This window comes from Homo sapiens, chromosome 2, assembly GCF_000001405.40.
Source record: "Homo sapiens chromosome 2, GRCh38.p14 Primary Assembly".
Classification (NCBI taxonomy): Eukaryota; Metazoa; Chordata; class Mammalia; order Primates; family Hominidae; genus Homo; species Homo sapiens.
Window position 1 is genome coordinate 17,952,839 of NC_000002.12, and position 22,015 is coordinate 17,974,853.

Below are 22,015 nucleotides of genomic sequence, written 5' to 3' on the forward strand. Positions count from 1 at the left end.
GAGAAACATTTCCTTACTGTTGGCCTGGTATTTGAGATCACATATACCAAATGCTACTAAAGGAAATCTATTCTCATTGGCAGAGAAACCCTGTAAGACTTGGGAGAAGGATTTAGGATACAGAACTGGAATGAACCCCGGGGTTCCCACATTTTTCTGTGCCCTTAACTGCTGCCTTCTGCACCACATGTTCTCTCTGTGCAATGCTCCCTTCACAAAAGCCACAAGGCATTTTCTCTGCTCTTTTGAAAGAGGTATCTGTGGATCAAACCTTGGCAATCACTTACCTGGATTCTACCATGAATTCCCATTAGTATGTCCTTTGAGATACAAAAGATTCCCTTCACTAGCTTCCTGGCCTCCATGTCTAGCCATCATTTTGAACTATTTGTTTGATTTCAGGGCTGACTGGTCACCGGAAATGTTGTTTCCATTAAAGCAAGTAATTTCAAGCTTGCAACATTTAATAATTATTGAATTCTTCCATTCAGAAAAATCTCCCTAGGATACAACTATTAGATCAGGAGAAGGCAGCTTTAGAAAAGCTGACATCTATAAAGCCATGCATTTGTGGGAGTCAGGCCATCTTATGAAAAAGTTTAGACAGGCATATAAATGCTTTCTCACTTGGTGAGGAATCTGACTTCAGCCCCCTCATTCTGTTTGACAGTTATATGTGTTTAGTTATCGTTAGTAGCCTTGGTGGAACTTTGAGATTACTTTGTTTTCTACTAATGCCCAATAAGTTTTGGAGATGTTTCCCCTGTCAATTTTATCCCTATATCAGATAGACTGATAAAGGGTGGTAAATGTTACTTTATTTCATTATTTCCTTGCCCCCATACGTACACTTACTAAGTATTTTATTTAGATAATTGTAGGCCACATGTTAGTCATCCATTACATCCTTCCTTTGATTTCTTCCTTCTACTATTCATGATTGAGTAACAGTAAGAATCTCTTTTGTTATTGAATATTTGACTGACTAACAAACTTTATTGAGCAATACAGTCATTGTAGATTTTGCATCCCCATGCATGTTTTCTTTTCGCCAGTTCTTTTGGTGGACAAGACCATGTCTCTTTTATCTTTCTTTTGGAAAACCAATTCATAGGCTCTGCTGGGGCTAATACTTCCACTTGTCAGTCACAGGAGACTGCAATGATCAAGGCTCTTGAGTCTGCTACGATTTGAATGTGTCCCCCCAGTTTCATGTGTTGGAAACTTAATCGCCAAATTCATATGTTGATGGTGTATGGAGGTGGGATTTTGGAGAGGTAATTAGGATTAGATAAAGTCATCAGGGTAGGCCCCCATGATGGGGATTGGTGGCTTTATAAGAAGAGGAAGAGAGACTTGAGCTGACATGCTCTTACTCCCTCGCCATGTGTTGCCTTCTGCCATATTAAGATGCAGTCAGAAGACCCTCACCAGATGTGACCCCTTGACCTTGGATATCCTACCTAGTCTTCGGGGCTGTAAAATATATATACATATATTTTAAATAAATCACCCAGTCAGTGGTATGCTGTTACAGCAACAGAAAATTGACTAAGATAGAGTCTTTTCCGAGCCTTTTGCAAAGACAAACAGGAGAGAGGCAGAGTTCTTTTTCTTCCTAGGATCATTGGTTGTAACGATGACATAAGCTGAAATTGCTGGTTGCCACCATGTGGGGAAAGTGTGCCTGAGAATAAATCAAGACAGAAAAGCGAAGCTGAGAGGTGGAGAATAGGGATTTTCTTAATGCCATCATTGAACCCTTTCATCTTGACACACGTAAGTCAGCTGTATCCCTTGCATTTTCAGCTATGTGGGAAATACATTCCATCTTTTGTATACACTAGCATGAGGTGGGTTTCTGTCATTTGCAATTGAAAGTGTCCTGAGAGATATAACTTCTAGTCATTTTATCCATGAAAATTTCTCTTTATTTGGTTTGATCACCTGTGTAATTTACTTCTGTATCCTTTGACACCAGCTAGTCCTGCGGTCTGCAGAGAGTGGACAATGGATACCTCCTTTGCATGTGGGGGAAGTAAGCAGGTGATTTTCAGAGAGATGAGGAAGTCTCCTAACATGGTCACCAGACAAAATACAGAATTCCCAGTTAAAGTTGAATTTCAGATAACTAAAAATATTTTAGTATAATTTTTATGTCCTATGTAATATGTGGGACATATGTATACCAAAAAATTTATTGCTTATCTGAAATTCTAATTTAAGTGTCTTGTATTTATTCATCTAATTTAGGCTCATCAAATAACCATATTTTAAGAATGCACTTAAAATAGTATTGTGAGGTTCCTAAATTTAGGAGAGCATCTTCCCTGAGTAATTTTTTATACATAGAGTCTAAAATTCAGATTTAACTGGGCTTTCTGTATTTTGATTTGCTGAATCTGGCAACCATATCCTCTATCCACTCCAGTTGTTTTTCTGATCCAGACATGGTATCTAAATTGTAGTCTCTAAGAGCCATCCTGTTTGCCAGCTTCATGGGTCAAAGGAGAAATGTCTGGGTTTGGGCCTCTTTGATGAGCACCCTTTGCACCAGATACGGGTATTTGTAGGTGAGGGACACTACAGAAAGCAGGGCAATTCCATGGCTGTGTGAGAGGAGAAGGGAACTCAGGAGAATTAACATTTACTGAGGATCTCTTGCTTGTCAGTCACTAAGGAGAAGCTTTGTGTCCATTGACTCATTTAATCATTATGACGGGTCTGTGAAATAGATTTTATCTATGCCCATTTGAAAAATAAGGAAACTGAGACTCAGAGAGTTGAAGTAATTAGCCCAAAAAGATATAGCTAGGAAATAGTACCAGGTTCATCTGATTTTCAGCCCATGCTCTTTCTACAGGTTCAGTTTTCTGGGTAGAGAACAGCCCCTGGTGTCTGTGAGCAGAGTGGGATGTTGCCAGGGCACTGAGAAAGAGCCAGCAGAGGGACAGTGGCTGCCTATGTCTGTAGCCTTTGTACCAGAGACTCTGTGACCTTCATTCTCTGCCTGCACCTAGCTGAGTGGATGGACATTTTGACCAAGGTTGTCTTTTGTGCCTTTCCTTGGGATAGCTAATAAAGCAAATTGGATGGGCCTCAAACAAATGGAAAATGTTCAAGATCACTCATCATGAGAGAAATGGAAATTAAAATACCACAAGATACCATTTCTCACCTATCAGATTAGCAAAGATTAAAAGTCTAATAATACAACCTGTTAGCAAGACTGTATAGAAACAGGTGCTATCACACAGTTGCTAGTGGGCGCACAAACTGGTTTCACTCATCTGGAGGAGAATCTGGCAATAAACCCTTCAGACTATCTATGCAGTTACCTTTTGATCCAGCAGTCTCACTTCTAGGAATCTACCCTGAGCTATTTCAATATTAGGAAAATGCATATGCACCAGTTTCTTCACTGCAACATTGTTTGCAATTGCAAAATATTAGTCTGTAGTCCAGTTAACAGCATTGTAGCAACATTGATTTCCTGGGTTTATAATTTTAATATGGTTATGTAAGATGTTAACATTAGCGCAAGCTGGGCAAAATGTACTATTTTGTAGAATTTTACCACTTTTCTGTAAGTTTAAATTATGTTGAGCTAAGAGTTCAAACAAAAACAATGACATAATTAACAAAGCTATTTTCTCATCACCTGATGTGGGGCATGAAGACTGGGCTGGATTAACAGTGAATGGTCACAACTGCCCAAGTCTGTCCTCTTTGGTCTAGCATATTCTGGAGAATGGGGTAGGGCTGGCCAACACTGGATTGTCAGAAATCTCAGCCACGGGAAAAGGGAGTGGAGGGGTACAGATAGTCACAGCTACATCCTTACTTCACTGAGCAGTGCATTCTTGTATGTGAAAACTTGTCCAGACAGCTGGTGTCCACTGTTCAAATTGGGTCTATGAAGGATGTCCTTGGAAACCGTTCCATTACTTTAAAGTTTCATTTCATGTGTGTGAGAGATTTACTGTCTTTTCCCAAATCACTGGTTATTTGGATTGTATATTCAAACACCTTGAACTATGTGACCTTTCTCTTTATGTGGTATTTTCAATTCTACAAATAGAAAAGCTATGAAATGCTTAAGATGAGGAATCAGTTCTGTCTCCTAAACGACTTGCTCAAAATTGCAAGTTTCCCATTTTTAAAAGATTGTAAAGTTGACAAATGCATCAGAGTGTCCTTAGTCAAAATGACTTAGGTGTCTCCTAACAGTTTTATCGTTTCTAATTTACACTTTATAGGAAAACACAGATTAGCTGCTTGTTATTTGCCATTCTAAATTATTTTACCAGAGCATGGGTTTCAGTGATACCTCACCAAAATATGAAACCCTTGATCCAGTGGAGATAGAATGAATTAATGGGTGTTTGGGGAATGTTTTAACCATGCAGTGTCCTGTGCACTCTACTGACAGCTTCCTGGGGTCAACTCAGGGGCAGGGTGGGTTCAGTCAAGGAGTTCCTCCTTGCAGTGTGGTGGTGCATCTGCCTCGAACACCTGCGTGAGATGGAGTCCATGATAAGGCTGATAATTCACTTAATTGCCCCAGTAACCCTGTTAAGGCTCAGAGACATGCAGTGTCTTTCCCAAGTCACAAAGCTAATAAATAGTGGAGCTGGAGTTTGAGTCTGCCTTGCTCCAAGTCCAGAGTACCTTTTACTGAGCACACTACCCAGGTGAGAGAGACTACTTCGGCCAACTCTGACACTTTGCTGAGGCCGGGCTCTGCCTATGCTTGGGGTGACAATAGCAGGTGCCCTCCTTTCTGTCAGTGCATGCACCTCATCTCTAAAAGCTGGAGCTGCTTTCCGTCATTCCCTCTCAAGCTCTACAGTGCTTTCCTATGCATAGAAATCATTGTGAAAGAAACCTCATCTAGCCGGGCGCAGTGGCTCATGCCTGTAAAATCCCAGCACTTTGGGAGGCCGAGGCGAGCGGATCATGAGGTCAGGAGATCGAGACCATCCTGGCTAACACAGTGAAACCCCATCTCTACTAAAAATATACAAAAAAAATAGCCAGGCGTAGTGGCGGGCACCTGTAGTTCCAGCTGCAAGGGAGGCTGAGGCAGGAGAATGGAGTGAACCCGGGAGGCAGAGGTTGCAGTGAGCCGAGATCGCGCCACTGCACTCTAGCCTGGGGGACAGAGCGAGACTCTGTCTCAAAAAAAAAAAAAAAAAAAAAGCCTCATCTGCCAGCTCTTATAAGCTTGGTCTCTGCAGGTAGCCTCACAGCAAACCCAGCCTCCTCACCTTTCCAACTAAGAACCCCATGACCCTGAGGGTGGGAAATGCCAAGTATTTTCCTCCCCGCTTTTTTTTTTTGAGGGAAGTTTCAATTTGTGTTTTGAAAAGAGCACGGTCTTGGAGTCACACCAGAGTGTGTATTCAGTCTCACTGCTGAGTCTCTGTGGATAAGAGGATTCACCTCTTCATACCGCGTTTTTTTTTTTTTAATAAAGAAAGCGGGGATGGCCGTACCTTTCTTAGAACTATTGTGAGGATTTAATGACATAACAGAAACAGCATCTAGCATGTAGTAGGCATTGAATAAGTGGCTGTTATTATTTTGACAAGCACTGCTAATTCTCAACATAACATTTTCCCCATATATCCCCTCTATAGGGCTCAGTCTATTTCTAACGAAGAAGAACAGAGTTGCAAAACATGCTGCCTTTTAGAATCACTTTTATTTCTAGAGGACAGAAACTCTGCCAAGGAGGAAAATGGAAGTTATCCCAGGCTTTTGTGTGGGTTTTATTTGTATGCAAAAGCTAGCAAGTCTTATTTGTTCAGAAGATGAATTTCATTCTAATGATGCCAAAGAATCTTCTAAAATTTCATAATTGCCATTCCTAGTGTGCTCCAAGCTGAAAGACAACAAAAGAATTAGGTGGCCAGTTCAGATTGGATTTGAGGAGGGATGTGCATTTGAAAATGCTTCAGCTGCTCCTGCATCATCCTAGTCTACTGAGACGTGCAGATGAGTTACACCGAGGAGTCAGCAGCATCAGCCCAGTGTTGCCCAGCCAGGGTACTGGGGATGGTGAGAGGATGTGGGTCAGGCCTGAGGAGGTACCTAGCTTGAGTGCCCTGGCCACTCTCCTAGATCTGCCTTTTGTTACCTATACATGCAAATGCGTGGAGCACTTGACAACCTGCCAAGCATTTTTTTTACACTTTTTGTCTCATGTAACTCTCTTAAAAATCCTTGAAAACAGATATGGCCAATGTTATTATCCTACCTTATAGATGAGGAAACTGAGATTCAGAAGTCCCAAACACACAGCTGGTAAAAGGCAGAGTCTGGAGTTGAATTCATGGCACCCAACTCTAAAAATACTCATCTTCCCTCTAGATTTATATGCCTATTATGGTACAATATAATTATCCAAGTTTGGATTAGTGATGCTCTTTTTTTTTTTTTTTAGGCAGTCATGTAATACTGTGTAAATCACCAAAGCCTAAGGTTTTTACTCTGGGGATTTGGCACAATGATGATAACTGGGTACATTCTAGGGATTCAGCCTCCATCATCACAGACAGTAAAAGTCTCAGGGGGTGTGGCAGGGCCCTCTGCATTTCCTCCTCTGCCATTCTTTTTCTTCTTCTTCTTCTGTGTGGAACCACACAGAACTAACAATCATGGAGTGTAAGCTGAGACAGAAGAAGAGAAGATGATCCCGACCCAGAGGCTCTACAGTGGGAGGAGCTGGGTCGTGGGAGGGAGGCTCCTGCCTTCTGCGGAAGTCTTTAGTTCTTGAACAATGCAGAGATCACTTTTCAATATCCAAAGCAGTTTGCATGGTGTTTCTCAATTTCAGCAGTGTACAAGCCACTTTTAAAGAAAAAAATCATTCTTGAGGATCTCTAGGACACTTACATTGTTTTTATTTTAGTTACTTGAATACATAAAACATGAAAATTGTTGTAAATTTTTAAGCTTATAGCTCTTATGCAACAATAAAATGAGATTAAACAAGATATTGTTTAATTTCTGATGATCTAAAACAATTAATGAAAGGATATTCTGAGTTGCTTGCTCCCAAATTTCAGTGCCCTCATGTGAGGCAGAGTTATGAATGAATGCAAACAAGGGTCCAGTAATGTTTTCAGTAATGTTTTGGCACAGTTACTCAAACAGAGAATAACTGAGAGAATTCAGTTCCCACATGGCGCCAGGTGGTAAATGCATCGGATCGACGTCAGGGCATATCTGTTCTAGAGTCACTGAGAGGGGCCTGTGACTGATGATGAAGGAGAAATGATCAGTCTATAAATACCTGTCGGTTGCCTGGGATGACAGAAACCATCTGCCCTACCTTATTCTTCTTCTGGTTAACTCTTATTCATCCTTCAAAACACAGCTCAGTTGTCCACAACTCCAGGGAGCGTTTCCCAGATGCTTCCATGTGGTCAGCCTTTTGCTTCTCCTGTAGGACCTCTTGGATCACTTTTCTTCCCGAATACCTTGCTGGGCCTAATGGCCCCAATGGGTAAGACACTCTTCTCTTTATTGTCCTGTCCTTGTATTTCCCACAACACCACCAACATAAAGCTAAAATGTAATAGGTTTTACTAAACACTTAGGATAACAAGACTGTAATATTGAAGCTGGAGTTTAAATATTGCACTTCTATCCACAGGAAAAAGAGAAAGGTTAATATTTTCACAGAGACCCCCTCATGGGTGCACCCCAGATGTTGCCTTATTTTTTCTGTCTCCTAGAGAAAGCCTTTTCTTCTATCCTTCACAGTATAAATCTCTACCACCTTGAAGGAAACCACCCTTCTTTGCTCATATAAGTTGGTTTTGTCCAAGCATCTGTCCTTGCGAGCTCCTCTGACACAGGCCAGCCATGGACAAAATGTTTTTTAACAGTTCATTGTCCAAATGTGGTTGTGTGATGGGGAAAAGGTCTTGGCTCACTGACTCTGCTTTGAGGTCCTTACTAGTGCGAGACGAAGTTGGGGCGTGCTCTTCCTGCGGCCTGCCAGCCACCTGAGGACAACTCATTGACGCAGAGCCATATCTGGATGCAGACACGCGCACACCTGCCCCAAGCACATGCACGGATATTTGCAGGCAGTTCAAACTAACTCTAGGTCAAGGATGAGAACTGTTTTCCTAAAGGTGATATAATTTGCAATATTTTTTCTTCCCATCCTGCTGCTTTTAAGTTCACCCACAGGAAGCTTTTTGCTTTTTTTTTTTTTCCCTGTGCCTAAGAAGTGGGAGGTCCCTTACAGTGCACCACCCCCACCACCTTCTTTTAGAGTGAGTTTTGGTCTTCTGCCCAGGCTGGAGTACAGTGGCGTGATCTTGGCTCACTGCAACTTCCGTCTCCTGGGTTCAAGTGATTCTCCTGCCTCAGCCTCCTGAGCAGCTGGGATTACAGTCGCATGCCACCATGCCTGGCTAATTTTTTGTAAGTTTAGTAGAGACGGGGTTTCACCATGTTGACCGGGCTGGTCTCAAACTCGTAGGCTCAAGTGATCCACCTGCCTTGGCCTCCCAAAGTGTTGGGATTACAGGCGTGAGCCATGGCGCCTGGCCCCTTTACGGTGCCTTTTCAAATAGCAGTGCTATCTACCTCTTCTTCCACCTCTGGCTACACAAATAAACAAAATGACAGAAACTTTGAATTAGGTAGAGTTTGAGCATGGGCTAGATAAAGTGAAGCTTCCTCTGTCTTAAATCTCCCCTTGTCCATGGTTAAACCTAGGGGCTTTGTGTGCAACTGCATGTATCTTTCTTTTTCTTTTTACACTAACCTGTTACTCTCTAAAAGACACAAGAGCCCCAGAAGCAGCCTCCACTTGTTACTCAACTTTATATTTTTTACAGCCTGGCCAAACCTGGCACACAAAGGTTTGTTTACCAGACTGACTGGCTGATTTGATGTACTAAAAAAATAGGAGCGTTCCTACAACTAATGGAAATTTAGAGAAATGACAGGCATAGCAGATGTATGTTTAAGCAAGAATAAAAACAATATGGTTCCCTTATATCAATAGGGACTCTCAGTTCCTGTGAGGAAAAGACCATGTATTAATTTCCATATTTACTAAGGCACTTCATATAAGTGCTTTATATAAGTAAATTCGTTGCCATGTCTATTGTCTTCATGAAACCTTGCGTAATACCTTTCATTTAGAAATGACTGTTTTTTGAATAAATACATTTTAGGTCAACATTTGTGTCCTTTCTTTTATGTTGGTTTTTAAAGTTAGTTATTATCTAGAAATATCAATTATTGCATTAAAACCTTCTCTGATGATGATAGATTAATCAATTACTACTGGAAACACTCCTTACATTTTAGTACACAACTTTATAATTCATTTTCTCAGTTGAAAGCAAAAATTTGGCAATTGCTTTTAGTTGTAGCTCTTAGGTAGAATTTTCAGGCATTTTATGTAATGTCTTCTGATAAAAGAAATTTAAAATGTGGTGGACAAATTCTTAACAATTCAGTGGCAAGTCTGGGAGATTAACTCAAGGAAATGTCCTGGGAAATAGAACAACAGGTTGGAAAATAAAAGAGAAAAGCTAATAGGGGACCAGTCTATGATCTCTGACACTGAAAATGTAGCCTTTCCAAAAAGAAAGAATAGAGGATAAAATAGAGAGGAAGACATTACTACAGAAAAAATTTTAAGAAAATAGATTAAAAAAATGAAAGACATGTTTCCATATTGAAAAGACCACGTAACACCTAGCCTGATGAATTTAAAAAGACTCATATAAGGCCAAATTATTATCCGCACTGTGGATAAAGGAAACATCTAAAAAGTTTTCAAAAAATAAAAAAGTAATTTACATACAAAACAAGAATCAAGACTGTTACTTCTTCAATAGTAATGGGAAACCGGAAGATGATATGGTAATGACTTCAAAATTTTGAGAAAAAAGAATTTCCAGTCCATAATTCTATATCCAGCCAAATGTCAATTAAGTACGAAATAAAAATAAAGATAATTTTAAACATGAAATGTCTTAAACTTTAATTTTCTGGTGCACTCTTTATTAGGAAGCTACTAACAGATACATTAGTGCAAAGATAATTGTGGTTTTTGCCATAATTGCACCAACCTACTGCCTCATAAAAAGGAGGGAGTAAACCACAAAAGAGACAGAAAGACACAGGATCCAGGAAACAGGATTCTACCGGAAGAAAGGGGAAGGGAATTCCCAGAGTGCTGATGTAGTAAAATCCCAGGCTGCAATTCAGGCAAGAGAGCAGCCAGCCCCGAATGGAGCAGGAGATAGGCATCCAGCAGAGATGACTGCAGAGGGTGTGTGTGTGAGTGTGTATGTTACCAACCAGGAGAGATGATTGCAGAGGGTGTGTGTGTGAGTGTGTATGTTACCAACCAGGAGAGATGACTGTGAAAGGTGTGTGTGTACATCCAGGAGAGATGACTGCAGAGGGGGTGTGTGTGTGCGTGTGTGTGTGTGCATCCAGGAGAGATGACTGCAGAGGGTGTGGGTGTGTGTGTGTGCATCCAGGAGAGATGACTGCAGAGGGTGTGTGTGTGTGTGCATGTGTGTGTGTGCATCCAGGAGAGATGACTGCAGAGGGTGTGTGTGTGTGTGTGTGTGTGTGCGCGCGCACATCCAGGAGAGATGACTGCAGAGGGTGTGTGTGTGTGTGTGTGTGTGTGTGTGTGCGCATCCAGGAGAGATGACTGCAGAGGGGGTGTGTGTGTGTGTGTGTGTGCATCCAGGAGAGATGACTGCAGAGGGTGTGTGTGTGTGCGTGTGTGCGTGCATCCAGGAGAGATGACTGCAGAGGGTGTGTGTGTGTGTGTGTGTGCGCGCGCATCCAGGAGAGATGATTGCAGAGGGTGTGTGTGTGTGTGTGCACGCGCATCCAGGAGAGATGACTGCAGAGGGTGTGTGTGTGTGTGTGTGCGCGCGCGCGCGCGTCCAGGAGAGATGACTGCAGAGGGTGTGTGTGTGTGCGTGTGTGTGTGCATCCAGGAGAGATGACTGCAGAGGGTGTGTGTGTGTGCGTGTGTGTGTGCATCCAGGAGAGATGACTGCAGAGGGTGTGTGTGTGTGTGTGTGTGTGCATCCAGGAGAGATGACTGCAGAGGGTGTGTGTGTGTGCGTGTGTGTGTGCATCCAGGAGAGATGACTGCAGAGGGTGTGTGTGTGTGCATCCAGGAGAGATGACTGCAGAGGGTGTGTGTGTGTGTGTGTGTGTGCATCCAGGAGAGATGACTGCAGAGGGTGTGTGTGTGTGTGTGTGTGTGCATCCAGGAGAGATGACTGCAGAGGGTGTGTGTGTGTGTGTGTGTGTGCATCCAGGAGAGATGACTGCAGAGGGTGTGTGTGTGTGCGTGTGCATGCGCATCCAGGAGAGATGACTGCAGAGGGTGTGTGTGTGTGTGTGTGCATGCGCATCCAGGAGAGATGACTGCAGAGGGTGTGGGTGTGTGTGTGTGCATGCGCATCCAGGAGAGATGACTGCAGAGGGTGTGTGTGTGTGCGTGTGTGTGTGCATCCAGGAGAGATGACTGCAGAGGGTGTGTGTGTGTGCGTGTGTGTGTGCATCCAGGAGAGATGACTGCAGAGGGTGTGTGTGTGTGTGTGTGTGCATCCAAGAGAGATGACTGCAGAGGGTGTGTGTGTGTGCGTGTGTGCGTGCATCCAGGAGAGATGACTGCAGAGGGTGTGTGTGTGTGTGCATCCAGGAGAGATGACTGCAGAGGGTGTGTGTGTGTGCATGTGTGTGTGCATCCAGGAGAGATGACTGCAGAGGGTGTGTGTGTGTGTGCATGCTTGTGTGAAAGGAAACTGATAGACTACCTGATGCATATGACATTGAGAGAAATATTACCTCATGGTTGGAGCACTTGGGGGAAAGTTGTATGATAGGTGCATTTAAAAAATTAAACCCGTTATTATTTCCAGAAAATATGTACATTTCTGTGAGAAAGGAATGTGACCATGGTGTCTCCATGTCTCTGCTGTAAAGAACATTCTCATAGTCCTAATAATGGCAGTAGTTAATTTAACTGAAAATGTGATCGAACATTAAAAAGATGGGGAAAGTGTGTGTGCACGTGTGCACATGTGTGAGCACATGAATGACCATCTGGTATTGGTCTGGTTTAAGATCAAGTTTTCATTCTCTATAAAAACTCAATAGATAATGTCTAAAAATGACAAATAATCAGGAATTCATGATAAGCATATTGTTTAGAAGTTTGATCTCAAATATATTTGGCTAGGAATGGAAAGTGCCAGCCTCTGAGTCACATGGGGCAGGGGACTGCTCTGGTCTCCTTACCCTGTTTTCTTTTGCTCTATTGCACTGATAGGGTTTGGCTATGTCCCTACCCAAATCTCATTTTGAATTGTAGCTCCTATAATTCCCAAGTGTTGTGGGAGGGACCCAGTGGGAGATAATTGAATCATGGGCAGTTTCCCCTATACTGCTTTTGTGGTAGTGAATAAGTCTCACAAGACATGATGTTTTTACAACGTGTGTGTGTGTGTGTGTGTGTGTGTGTATGTGTGCATGTGTGTGCATCCAGGAGAGATGACTACAAAGGGCATGTGTGTGTGTTTGTATGTGTGTGTACATCCAGGAGAGCTGACTGCAGAGGGAGTGTGTGTGTATGTGTGTGCATCCCAGAGGGGTGACTGTAGAGGGTGTGTATATATGTGTGTGTGTGTGCGCGCACATCCTTTCACTTGCATCTCATTCTCTCTCTATTTGTTCTTCTTTTTTTTTTTTTGAGATGGAGTCTCTCTCTGTCGCCCAGTCTGGGGTGCAATGGTGTGATCTCAGCTCACTGCAACCTCTGCCTCCTGGGTTCAAGCAGTTCTCCTGTCTCAGCTTCCTGAGCAGCTGGGATTAGAGGCGTGTGCCAGCACGCCCAGCTAATTTTTTGTATTTTTAGTAGAGAAAACATTTCACCATGTTGGTCAGGCTTGTCTCGAACTCCTGACCTCGAGTTATCTGACCACCTCTGCCTCCCAAAGTGCTGGAATTACAGGCGTGAGCCACTGTGCCTGGCCACATTCTCTCTTATCTGCTGCCATGTAAGACGTGCCTTTGCCTTCAGCCATGATGCCATGATTGTGAGGCCTCCCCAGCCACGTGGAACTCTGAGTCCCTTAAACCTCCTTTTTTTTCAAGTAAATCACCCGGTCTCGGGTATGTCTTTATCAGCAGCATGAAAATCAACTAATACATGTACTTTTAACAATTCCAAATTGACCAGATAAAACACAGAACTTTATGTTAAGGTCGTGGAATGAAAGCAATGACATCAACTCCGTAACGTTACCATATAAAGATGAACAGTTTTCCCCGAATTATTTGAATTCTGACTAGGCTCCAACAGTAGCACCTCTTTTAGAGTGCCAAGCTATATTCCTGAAACAGAAATCAGAGATGAGATTCAAAAGGGACAAGAGGAAAGAAACTGCTGCTTCGTTTTGTCCATAAGCAGTACTTTGCTCAATTTGACACCCTGCAGTGGTGTGACCAGCCATGTTCACCGTGGAGTTGTTGGTTTTGGCATGGCAACCCTGCAGGGAGTTTATATATATTTTTTCTTTTTAAAGGTGGTTCTGCTTAGACATACTCTGATGAAGTCAGTGAGCAGAGGCAGATGATGGTTTGAATGATGGTTTACTTTGCTCTGGGGATTGAGGCAGAGGAGGAGCTCCGAGGGAGCATGGTGTTGATATTTGATCTATTTGGAGTTGACTTTCTAACTCTCTGTAACTCCTTTGCCCCCTTTAATCCATTATTGAGTGTTGCCTGGGGAATGGGGTTTTCTTGGAATGAATGTATTTGCTTTCTTTCCATTTCTGCCTGCCCTTAATCTCTCCCTCGCTTACCCTGGCATCTTCTCTGCCAGTGAGCTACTGAAGCCCTTACTCTTCTGAACCAAGGCCACAAGGGTCCTGGATCTCAGCAGCTGAGTGCTCCGGTGGGTGAGGGGCACTTTCACCCATGGGGATGTGGTCGCATTGCTATACAATAGCTTTGATTCCAAATAAGCTCTGAAGACATCTTGCCCATTAAGGCAAATAGTATTTACTTTTGAGTGATTATTGCTAAGAAGGCTCGGGCATGTTTTGTGTGGCTGGCTAATTGAAAATTACTTCCTGTTCTCAGTTGGCTGCTTCTTGCCACAGACAAATGAGGATGCACCTGACAAACTTCTTGTTGTGGGTTTTGTGTCCCAGCTCAGTTCTAAAGATTTAAAGCAGCCTGTTCTCCATTCTGCATCCCCTGAAGTGAGGTTTTAAATGCAGCATGTTTTGTTCTTTATTTAAACTACTCAAGCTTTTGTAAGTGTTGAGTTAAAGAATAGACATTAGTGGTTCTGGGCTGCATCTGGGTGTTCGAGCCAGTAGGATCATTTATCGGTAAATCCTCAGAGGAGTAGCCAGTTTAAGTATTGCTTATTTTTCTGTTTTTCTCAGGAATTCCCTTGTAAAGTTTTAGGAAGGCTGTATAGCCCCCTTTTTCTATTCTTCATAGAAAAACTTACATTTGCAAAGGCCTTTTGTGTCATCAAGACAGAAGACAAAAAGATGAGTAAAGGATGACAGTGGATTAACAACCTGAAGCCAGTCTCGTGATTAGGTATCTGGGCCCCTTAATGAAAAGAGCATCCATTGAAACCCTCTGCTGTTGCTGATGTCTTGCGGTCAGTACTTAATGAACGTTTTCCTAGTGTGTGAATCAAGACCAGATGAATGGCATATAGGAAACCACATCTGTAAAGTTCTCTGAGTCCATAGAGCTGAAAATTTGGCTTTGAAGACCTATGTTGCTATTCCAGCTCTATCACTTTTCCAGTCCAGTGACCTTAACCCAGTTTCTTAATACCTCACTTTCTTTATCTGTAAATAAGAACGATTCCAGTCACCTTCTGTAATAAACAAAATAATGTATGACAAAATTATACAAATATATTTTTATTTAGTCTTAATACTGTATTTGTTTTTGCTGTTATTAAGACAATTTGACATTTTTATGATTATAGTCTAGCACAGAAAATAAGAAATTATTTAATATTTGAGCATTCAGACCAGCAGAAATAAAGTGACTCTATATTGTGTGTGTAATATAAATACGAAGTGTTTCTAGCTCAGAAGAATTTCCTTAAAGTAGAAATAAGAGCAAGTTGCTAAGTATTTTCATTTGCATTGATACTTCTCAGAATTCCTATGACACTTACTTTTTCTGCTAGCCAGCACTTAATTAAGGATGTGTGATAGAATAAAAATCATCAACCTGGGAGTGTTCAGACTTTTCCTCTGCTAAAGAGAATCTGTAATTGGCAGTCAAATGTTCCACCCGCCTACCAGTCTGCTTCCTAAAAGTTTTTCTTCACACTAAAAATCTGTGGCAGAGGATGAGGAGTGGAGGCAGGAATTGGAGCAGAGTATAAATGGGGTGCAAGAGGAGATTTTTCTAGGGGCTATTTGCAAATGAAAAGCATTAGAGAGAGAAGAGTATGAAAAAGTTGTGAAGAGAATAAAGTTTGGGAGTTAGGACATAAACACCAAATGGAATTATTTTAAAAATGTCTTTTGGAGGTTGACCTCCAGGTAGCATTCTTCATGGACTGGACCTTGTGGCTCACAGCTTTAATGGGATTACAGATGAAGAGCATCGTGGAATATTTTACGTGATTTTTTTTGTCTATCCAGCCAAATAATCTCATCTTATTTTGCATCACATCCCTACAGATTCTTGCTCAGTGCACCCTCTACTACCAACCAGCAGAACAACTTCTGCGAAACACAAATGTGATCATGCTACTTCCTTGTTTAAAACCCTGTGGAATGATAGGGACCACGTCCCCCCTTTATTCGAGTCTGACACACATGCACAGGCTAATGGGTCTGGGCCATTTGCCCATCTGAATGATGAGATGACACCTCCCCACTCCCCATCCGAAGTACTTTGTTACATTCTTTCGTAATGCAGTGAAGGACACTGACTCTCACTTGAGGAGTTAAGGGGAAGATTTCTCAGGAGAAGGTGGAGAACAGGGATGTTCTCCTGGATGCTTTGATAATCTCTGCCTTCAGTCCACATGGAATGCCACCTAAAGTGGCCAAAGCAGCAGCCTTGTCCCACGGGAAATCCAGCCAGTCACTGGAGGAATTTGTGACACACCAAGGATCAGGGCCAGCGGTGCATGTGGCCCACTTTGATGGGGAGCCTGGTTTCATCACTGTCTTTGTTCAGAATTTGCAGCATAGGAGAATACTTGATTTTATTATTGTTTTTAAATTCTGTACAACAAAGGACCCCCATATTGTTAGCACCAGGGGCAGACTGCTCCCCTGTGGCAAACTGCCCCTCTTCATCCCCTTAGTTTACCAGGCGATGACACAGCGGCCACTCCCTCCCACTTGTTTTCCTAGAGATTGAAGAACAATTGTATCCCATGCTTGATCTGACTGATATGGAAATGCCTGATGACCATTTGAGTGGCAGCCTCCCAGATCTGTAAAAATCACGATACAGAGGCAGCAGGGACTGATGAGAGTCTCTGAAACCAGGCACTGTAGATCCACATATGGTAAGAACAGTGGAGTGATTCCATATCTTGGGCTCTGGAGATGGCATACTGGGTCCAGAAAAACATGACACCCATGACAGGAAAAAGCTGGCAATGAATTGTTCATCAGCTGCAGGTGGGACTTTAACTTTGCCTGGCATATGTAGTATTCACATTCTGAAATTTGGATTGTGTTTCTAAGTACTTGTAGTCATTAAATACTATTTCCTTTTTTAAAAGATAAATATCATTCCTTTCAAGAGGCTCAGTCAGATAGCTTAGGCCCTGAATTTGTTTTATTTTAAAGGTGCTTTATACAGTAATTTTTCAAGTGCAGTTGTTTTCATTATTCTGGTGAATTTCAGTTAAAAGTAAACTTTTTCAACTTGCTTAAAAGGAGCAGATATTTGAGATGGTGACTGTTTCCCACAAACTCTTAAAGAATGAGAGTTGAGTCCCATGGTACAGAGAGGAGGGAACTGATCAAATGCTGAATCAAATATGATCAGCAGCTGGGCAGGAGTGAGAAAGGGACTGCAAAAGCTTGGCAGGGAGGCCAGTGCTTCTGATAGAGATCCCTTCCCGGGCCCCATAATCGGCAAACCTTCTCATTGCCTGCAAGGTGACGTTCATGCTCCTAAACATGGCAGCACGTGGAATTCTACCCACCTCTTCTTCCACTTAATCTTTCTACATTTTTCCCTTGCAGGTACCCTATCTCTGTGCTCCAGGGAGCTCTAACTGGCCAGTGCCTGAACGTGACATGTTCTTTTATGTCTCTGTGTCTTTGCACACACTGTTTCCCTCCCTGAGAAACTTGACTTTCTTCTTCTTTCATTTTTCTATACTTATCTTTGAGAGTTAATGAAATGTCATCTCCCCCATGGAGATGTCACTGATTCCATTTCCAGTTACATCTCAAACATTCATAACACAGTTCTGGAGTCAGAATGCCAAGTGTGGATCCTGTCTCCACCACTTAATGCTGAAAACTTGGGCAAGTCACTTAATCTCTCTGCTTTAATTCCCTCAGTTGTATAATAGAGATAATAATAATATGAATACTTATTTACTATGACAATAAAGTAATCAAGAAAGTTTCCTTTAAGCACACAATAACTCAGTAAGTGTTAATTTTTATTATTTTTGTTATCATTTATTACTACCACTACCATTACCATCATATATACCTCCCTAGTGCTTTTATTTATACAGATTTCATTCACACAGTTATTATTATTTGTGTGAACCTGACTCTTTCTCATGTAACTTTCATTGCAAAGGCTTAGTACATTATTTGGTATGAACAGGTGTCCAGTAAATATTTTTGAAATTCAATTATTGGTGTCTATGCCTTTTATACTTATTAGATCCTAAGCTCATTAACGTGTGCCTTCTGCTTTTTAGCAATAATCAGGGATGCTAGCCAGTGCCCCTGCACGTAATCAGTATTCAACTAATTTCCAAAGAAGCCAATGTATTAATGAATTGTGTGCAGAAATGACTATTTAATGTTGCCTCTCAGAGAGCAGAGCAGACCTCAGGTGTCATGAGAGATCTCACCCTGATGCGCCATGTAGGCTGAGCCATATGGGCTGGAGGCAAACATTGTAGTCCAAGTCTTTGTTTCCTAAGCCTCTGATGAAATAAAAAGTCAGACAAGATGTAGTGTTAAAGATGAAGATCTGTCCTCTAAGCCTGAAGCCGAAGTGTGAAAGTGGTTAGGGAAAGAATAGGGATTTGCGTGTGGGGTGGCTGGCTGGACTAGCTTAACTCTGGTGAACTTTGTAACTAGAGAGTAGATTCTATGCCCTGTAGCTTTAACAGCCTGGATTTCCACAAAACTAGGAGTTTTTTAATTAAAATGTCTCTGCTTCTACAAAACTATCTAATGGGCATTATTTGGTTGGATGTTTCATTATGTTACATTCATTAGGTTACAAAGAGCTTAAAGTCATAATTCCCTTCAAAGAGGGGTCAGGCTGAATGAAACACTTTGATCCACCTTCTGAGAACAGGACTTGAGTATTTCCATGTAAGTGTTTAAAGTGGGTTGTTTCATACCCCAAGAGTGTGAGGTGTTTTTGATCCATCTCACATCGTGTTCTATTAATACCATCCTGAACTTTGGATTGATTATTTAATGGCCCTTACTATTTTTTTTAAATGGCTCTTACTATTAAATGCTACTCCTTTAAAGGGACGCTTGTTAAGCTGTTCAAGCCCTGAATTTATGTTTTGTTTAAAGAGCGCCATATAAAGTTGAGATCCAGAGATTTTGAGGGAATGGTTTAAGTGAAAAAGTGGGAAAGTTACTTTAGTTTAAGAGTAACCTTTAAAGATTTTCCCAGAGAACTGAAGCACACAGAAAAAAATGTGGGGTCATTAGAAATGGAATGCAAGACTCTTTACTTTTCAAGTTTAAGCTGCTAGAAATGAAAAATGTAAATAGAAAGATTAATGAGGGAGGGATTTTGAAAGTTCTTTATCAAGCAGTTGAGTTGTTGCCTGTAATGGCAAAGAAAGTGGAGCGGAGGCCTCTTGAGACCAAGCATGGCTTCCTGAAGTCCCTCCTCAAGATGTTTCACTTGCCATTCTCCACTTTTCTGCCTGTCACTGGCTCTCATAGCTCCCATTCTCCCAAACTTCTTCTTTCCTTCATTCAATCAATACCCATCTTCCATTCTGGACCTAGTCTATTGAGGAATAAAGACTTGCCTAAAAGTGAGAACACAGCCATTTATTCACCAAAGAAGTTATGTATTGAGAACCTGCAGCATTATGTCTGATACTGTGATAAATGCTGGAAATTCAGGCATGATGTGGCTTAGGCACAGCTGGCTGCTCATATGGAAGTTTCCTTTTCCTCTCGGGCACATGGCTAAACTATATTTCTTAGCTCACCTGCAGTCAGATGAGACCATGAGACTAGGTTCTGGCTAATGGATTTGAGCAGTTGTAATAAGGGCCATTTTCAGGTCTGACTCCTTGCATGACCTTAACTTTTCTTCCTCGTTCATCATGGCCAGCTGAAAGCAGTAGATCCAGAAAAGGAGTTTCAGGCCTTACGTGTTAGCACCATCATTAGATCAAACAGTTGGGCTCCTGAATTCTCACATGGCAGTGAGCCATCTGGGATAACTATCTTCTGAGATACTTCTGGATGGGACTTTGTGTGATGAGGAAGTGAGCTTTAATTTTGTTAAGCTACTGAGATTTCAGGACTTATTTGTGACTTCAGCAACTACATTATGTACTCTGACTAATAGAGATGAATAAGATACAGATCCTGTCTTTAAGGAGTTACTATTTTGTGTGAGAGAAACATTTAAATAAATGATTATAAAACAATATGATCAATATAGCAAATGAAATGTATAATGTGCAATGCAAGTAGAGCAGGCAGTAAGAAAGGGATGCTAATGGTGACAGGCTTCCTGGAGAAATGCATCATTTTCTGTTTCTTGCAAATGTGGGCTTGGCTGCGGGAAAGTGGTTGTGGGTAGGGAGAAGGAGAGGGCAATAAGAAGGTTGGTGTGGCTGGAACAGAAGGGATAAGGTTGATCGTGGGTACAGAAGGGGCTGGAGAGGGAGGCAGGTGGCAGATGACAGAGGGTCTTACAATGCCATGCTGGGGACCTGGACTTTTTGAGTTGGGTCCCATTCCACATGCTGATGTGTGATGATGTAAGAAGCTTGTGCCAGAATGTAAATCAACGCTCTGCGTCTTTCCTTGAGTAAATCTTGAGATTAAAAAACAAAAGTCTACTAAACTTAAAGAGCAAGATAAGTGATGTGGTTTTTCATTCTGGCAGAAGCTTCTTATTTTGTTATGTCTGGAAACTATCCACTTGTCTAACGCCCATACTTTAAGTAGCATTGTTTTAGACAATTTATTCTGCTTGCTGTGGATGATGGGTATGAGGGGTATATATTCAGAAGCAGGGAGACCACTTAAGATGGATGCAGAAGCAATTCCAAGGAGAGACAATGAAGACCTAAACTAGAGCAAGGGTAGTGTTGGTGCACAAAAGGGAATGGATTTTGGAAATACTTAGTACAGGAGCAGGGCATGGAAAGAGAGAATTAAAAAATGAGTCCTAAGTTTCTTGATTGAGTGTTTGGATGGTTGGAGGTGCCTTTTACTGAAGAAGAGCCTATAAGAGGAAAAATACATGGACCTGGGGGTAGTCTAATGAATTAACTTTCAGTGCTGTTGAACATGAAGGGGCTGAGGGAGCTCCAGGTAGATGGTTGAGCAGCTAGTCAGAGCTGACTGTCCAGAGCTTGGGGTAAGAGCTCTGGGATGGAGGTCCAAATTTGCCAGTTATTATCATAGGAGTTATAGAAAACAGGAGTGTAACTATACAGGAGTATGAAAGACAGTGGCCCAGGATAAAACCCTGTAGCACACCAGAATTAAGGAGACAAAGATGTTATCAGATAGACCTGGCATTTCAATAAAGTGAGAGGTCCTGAGAGCCCTGAGAGCAGAGTTTTTAGAAATACTCAGCCAATGAATGCAGCAGCGAGGTCTAGCAAAATATCAAGGAAAACACCTCCACTGGAATTATAAATTAGGATGTCTTTGATGAAAACTGGGGCAGAGGAGTAGAAGGGGCAACTGCAACACTGTAGTGAAATTCGAAGAGATCCTTAAACCCTCAAGTAATCTAAGCAAGTCCCTATTTCTACCTCTGTAAGATAAGGAGTCAGACTAGATAAGCTCTAAGGTGCTTTCAGCTCTAACATTCTATAATAATAAATACTATTTTGAGCACCTTATGTATGGTAGGCACATAATTTTTATTAAAATTCTGTAAGACATTGGCATGCCATTTTTCTGGAGGCTGAAAGTGCTTAAATATCACGTTGAGGTTCATATAGCCAAGGAATTTCTGAGCTGAGAATTAATAACTAGATTTGTCTGAAACAAAACCCACGTTCTTTTCACTATCCTGCATTGTACAATGATTTTAAAGAGTGATAAGGTACAAGGTAGAATGTGAATTGAATTTGGTAGTAGATCATTTAGAAGAGCCATCCTTGCTATATTTTCACAGGCAATCTCCTTTAATAAAAGGCAGAATGTTCCTTTTGAGGAACATAAACCAAATTCAATGTGAGGCCTTTGAACTACTCAGATATTAGGTATATAAAAACGAACAGGATGATCAGCAAGTGACAGGGAAATGGGAAACTTTTACATAGGCAGAAAAAAATCAATAGTGCATAATAGTTTACAGAGGTGATATATTTTATAGTTAAGCATCTCTGAAGACGAGCTTAGTAGTTGATAAGTATAGAAACTCTTGGAGACATAATTCTCATTCAGTGCAGATAAGCTGATATCTGAAGCCAATTATCTGATATAATAAGAGCTCATGCTTCCTCAAGGTGTCTTCCTTTGAGTATGTGTTAAGAATGATTGTTTTCAAAGTTGGC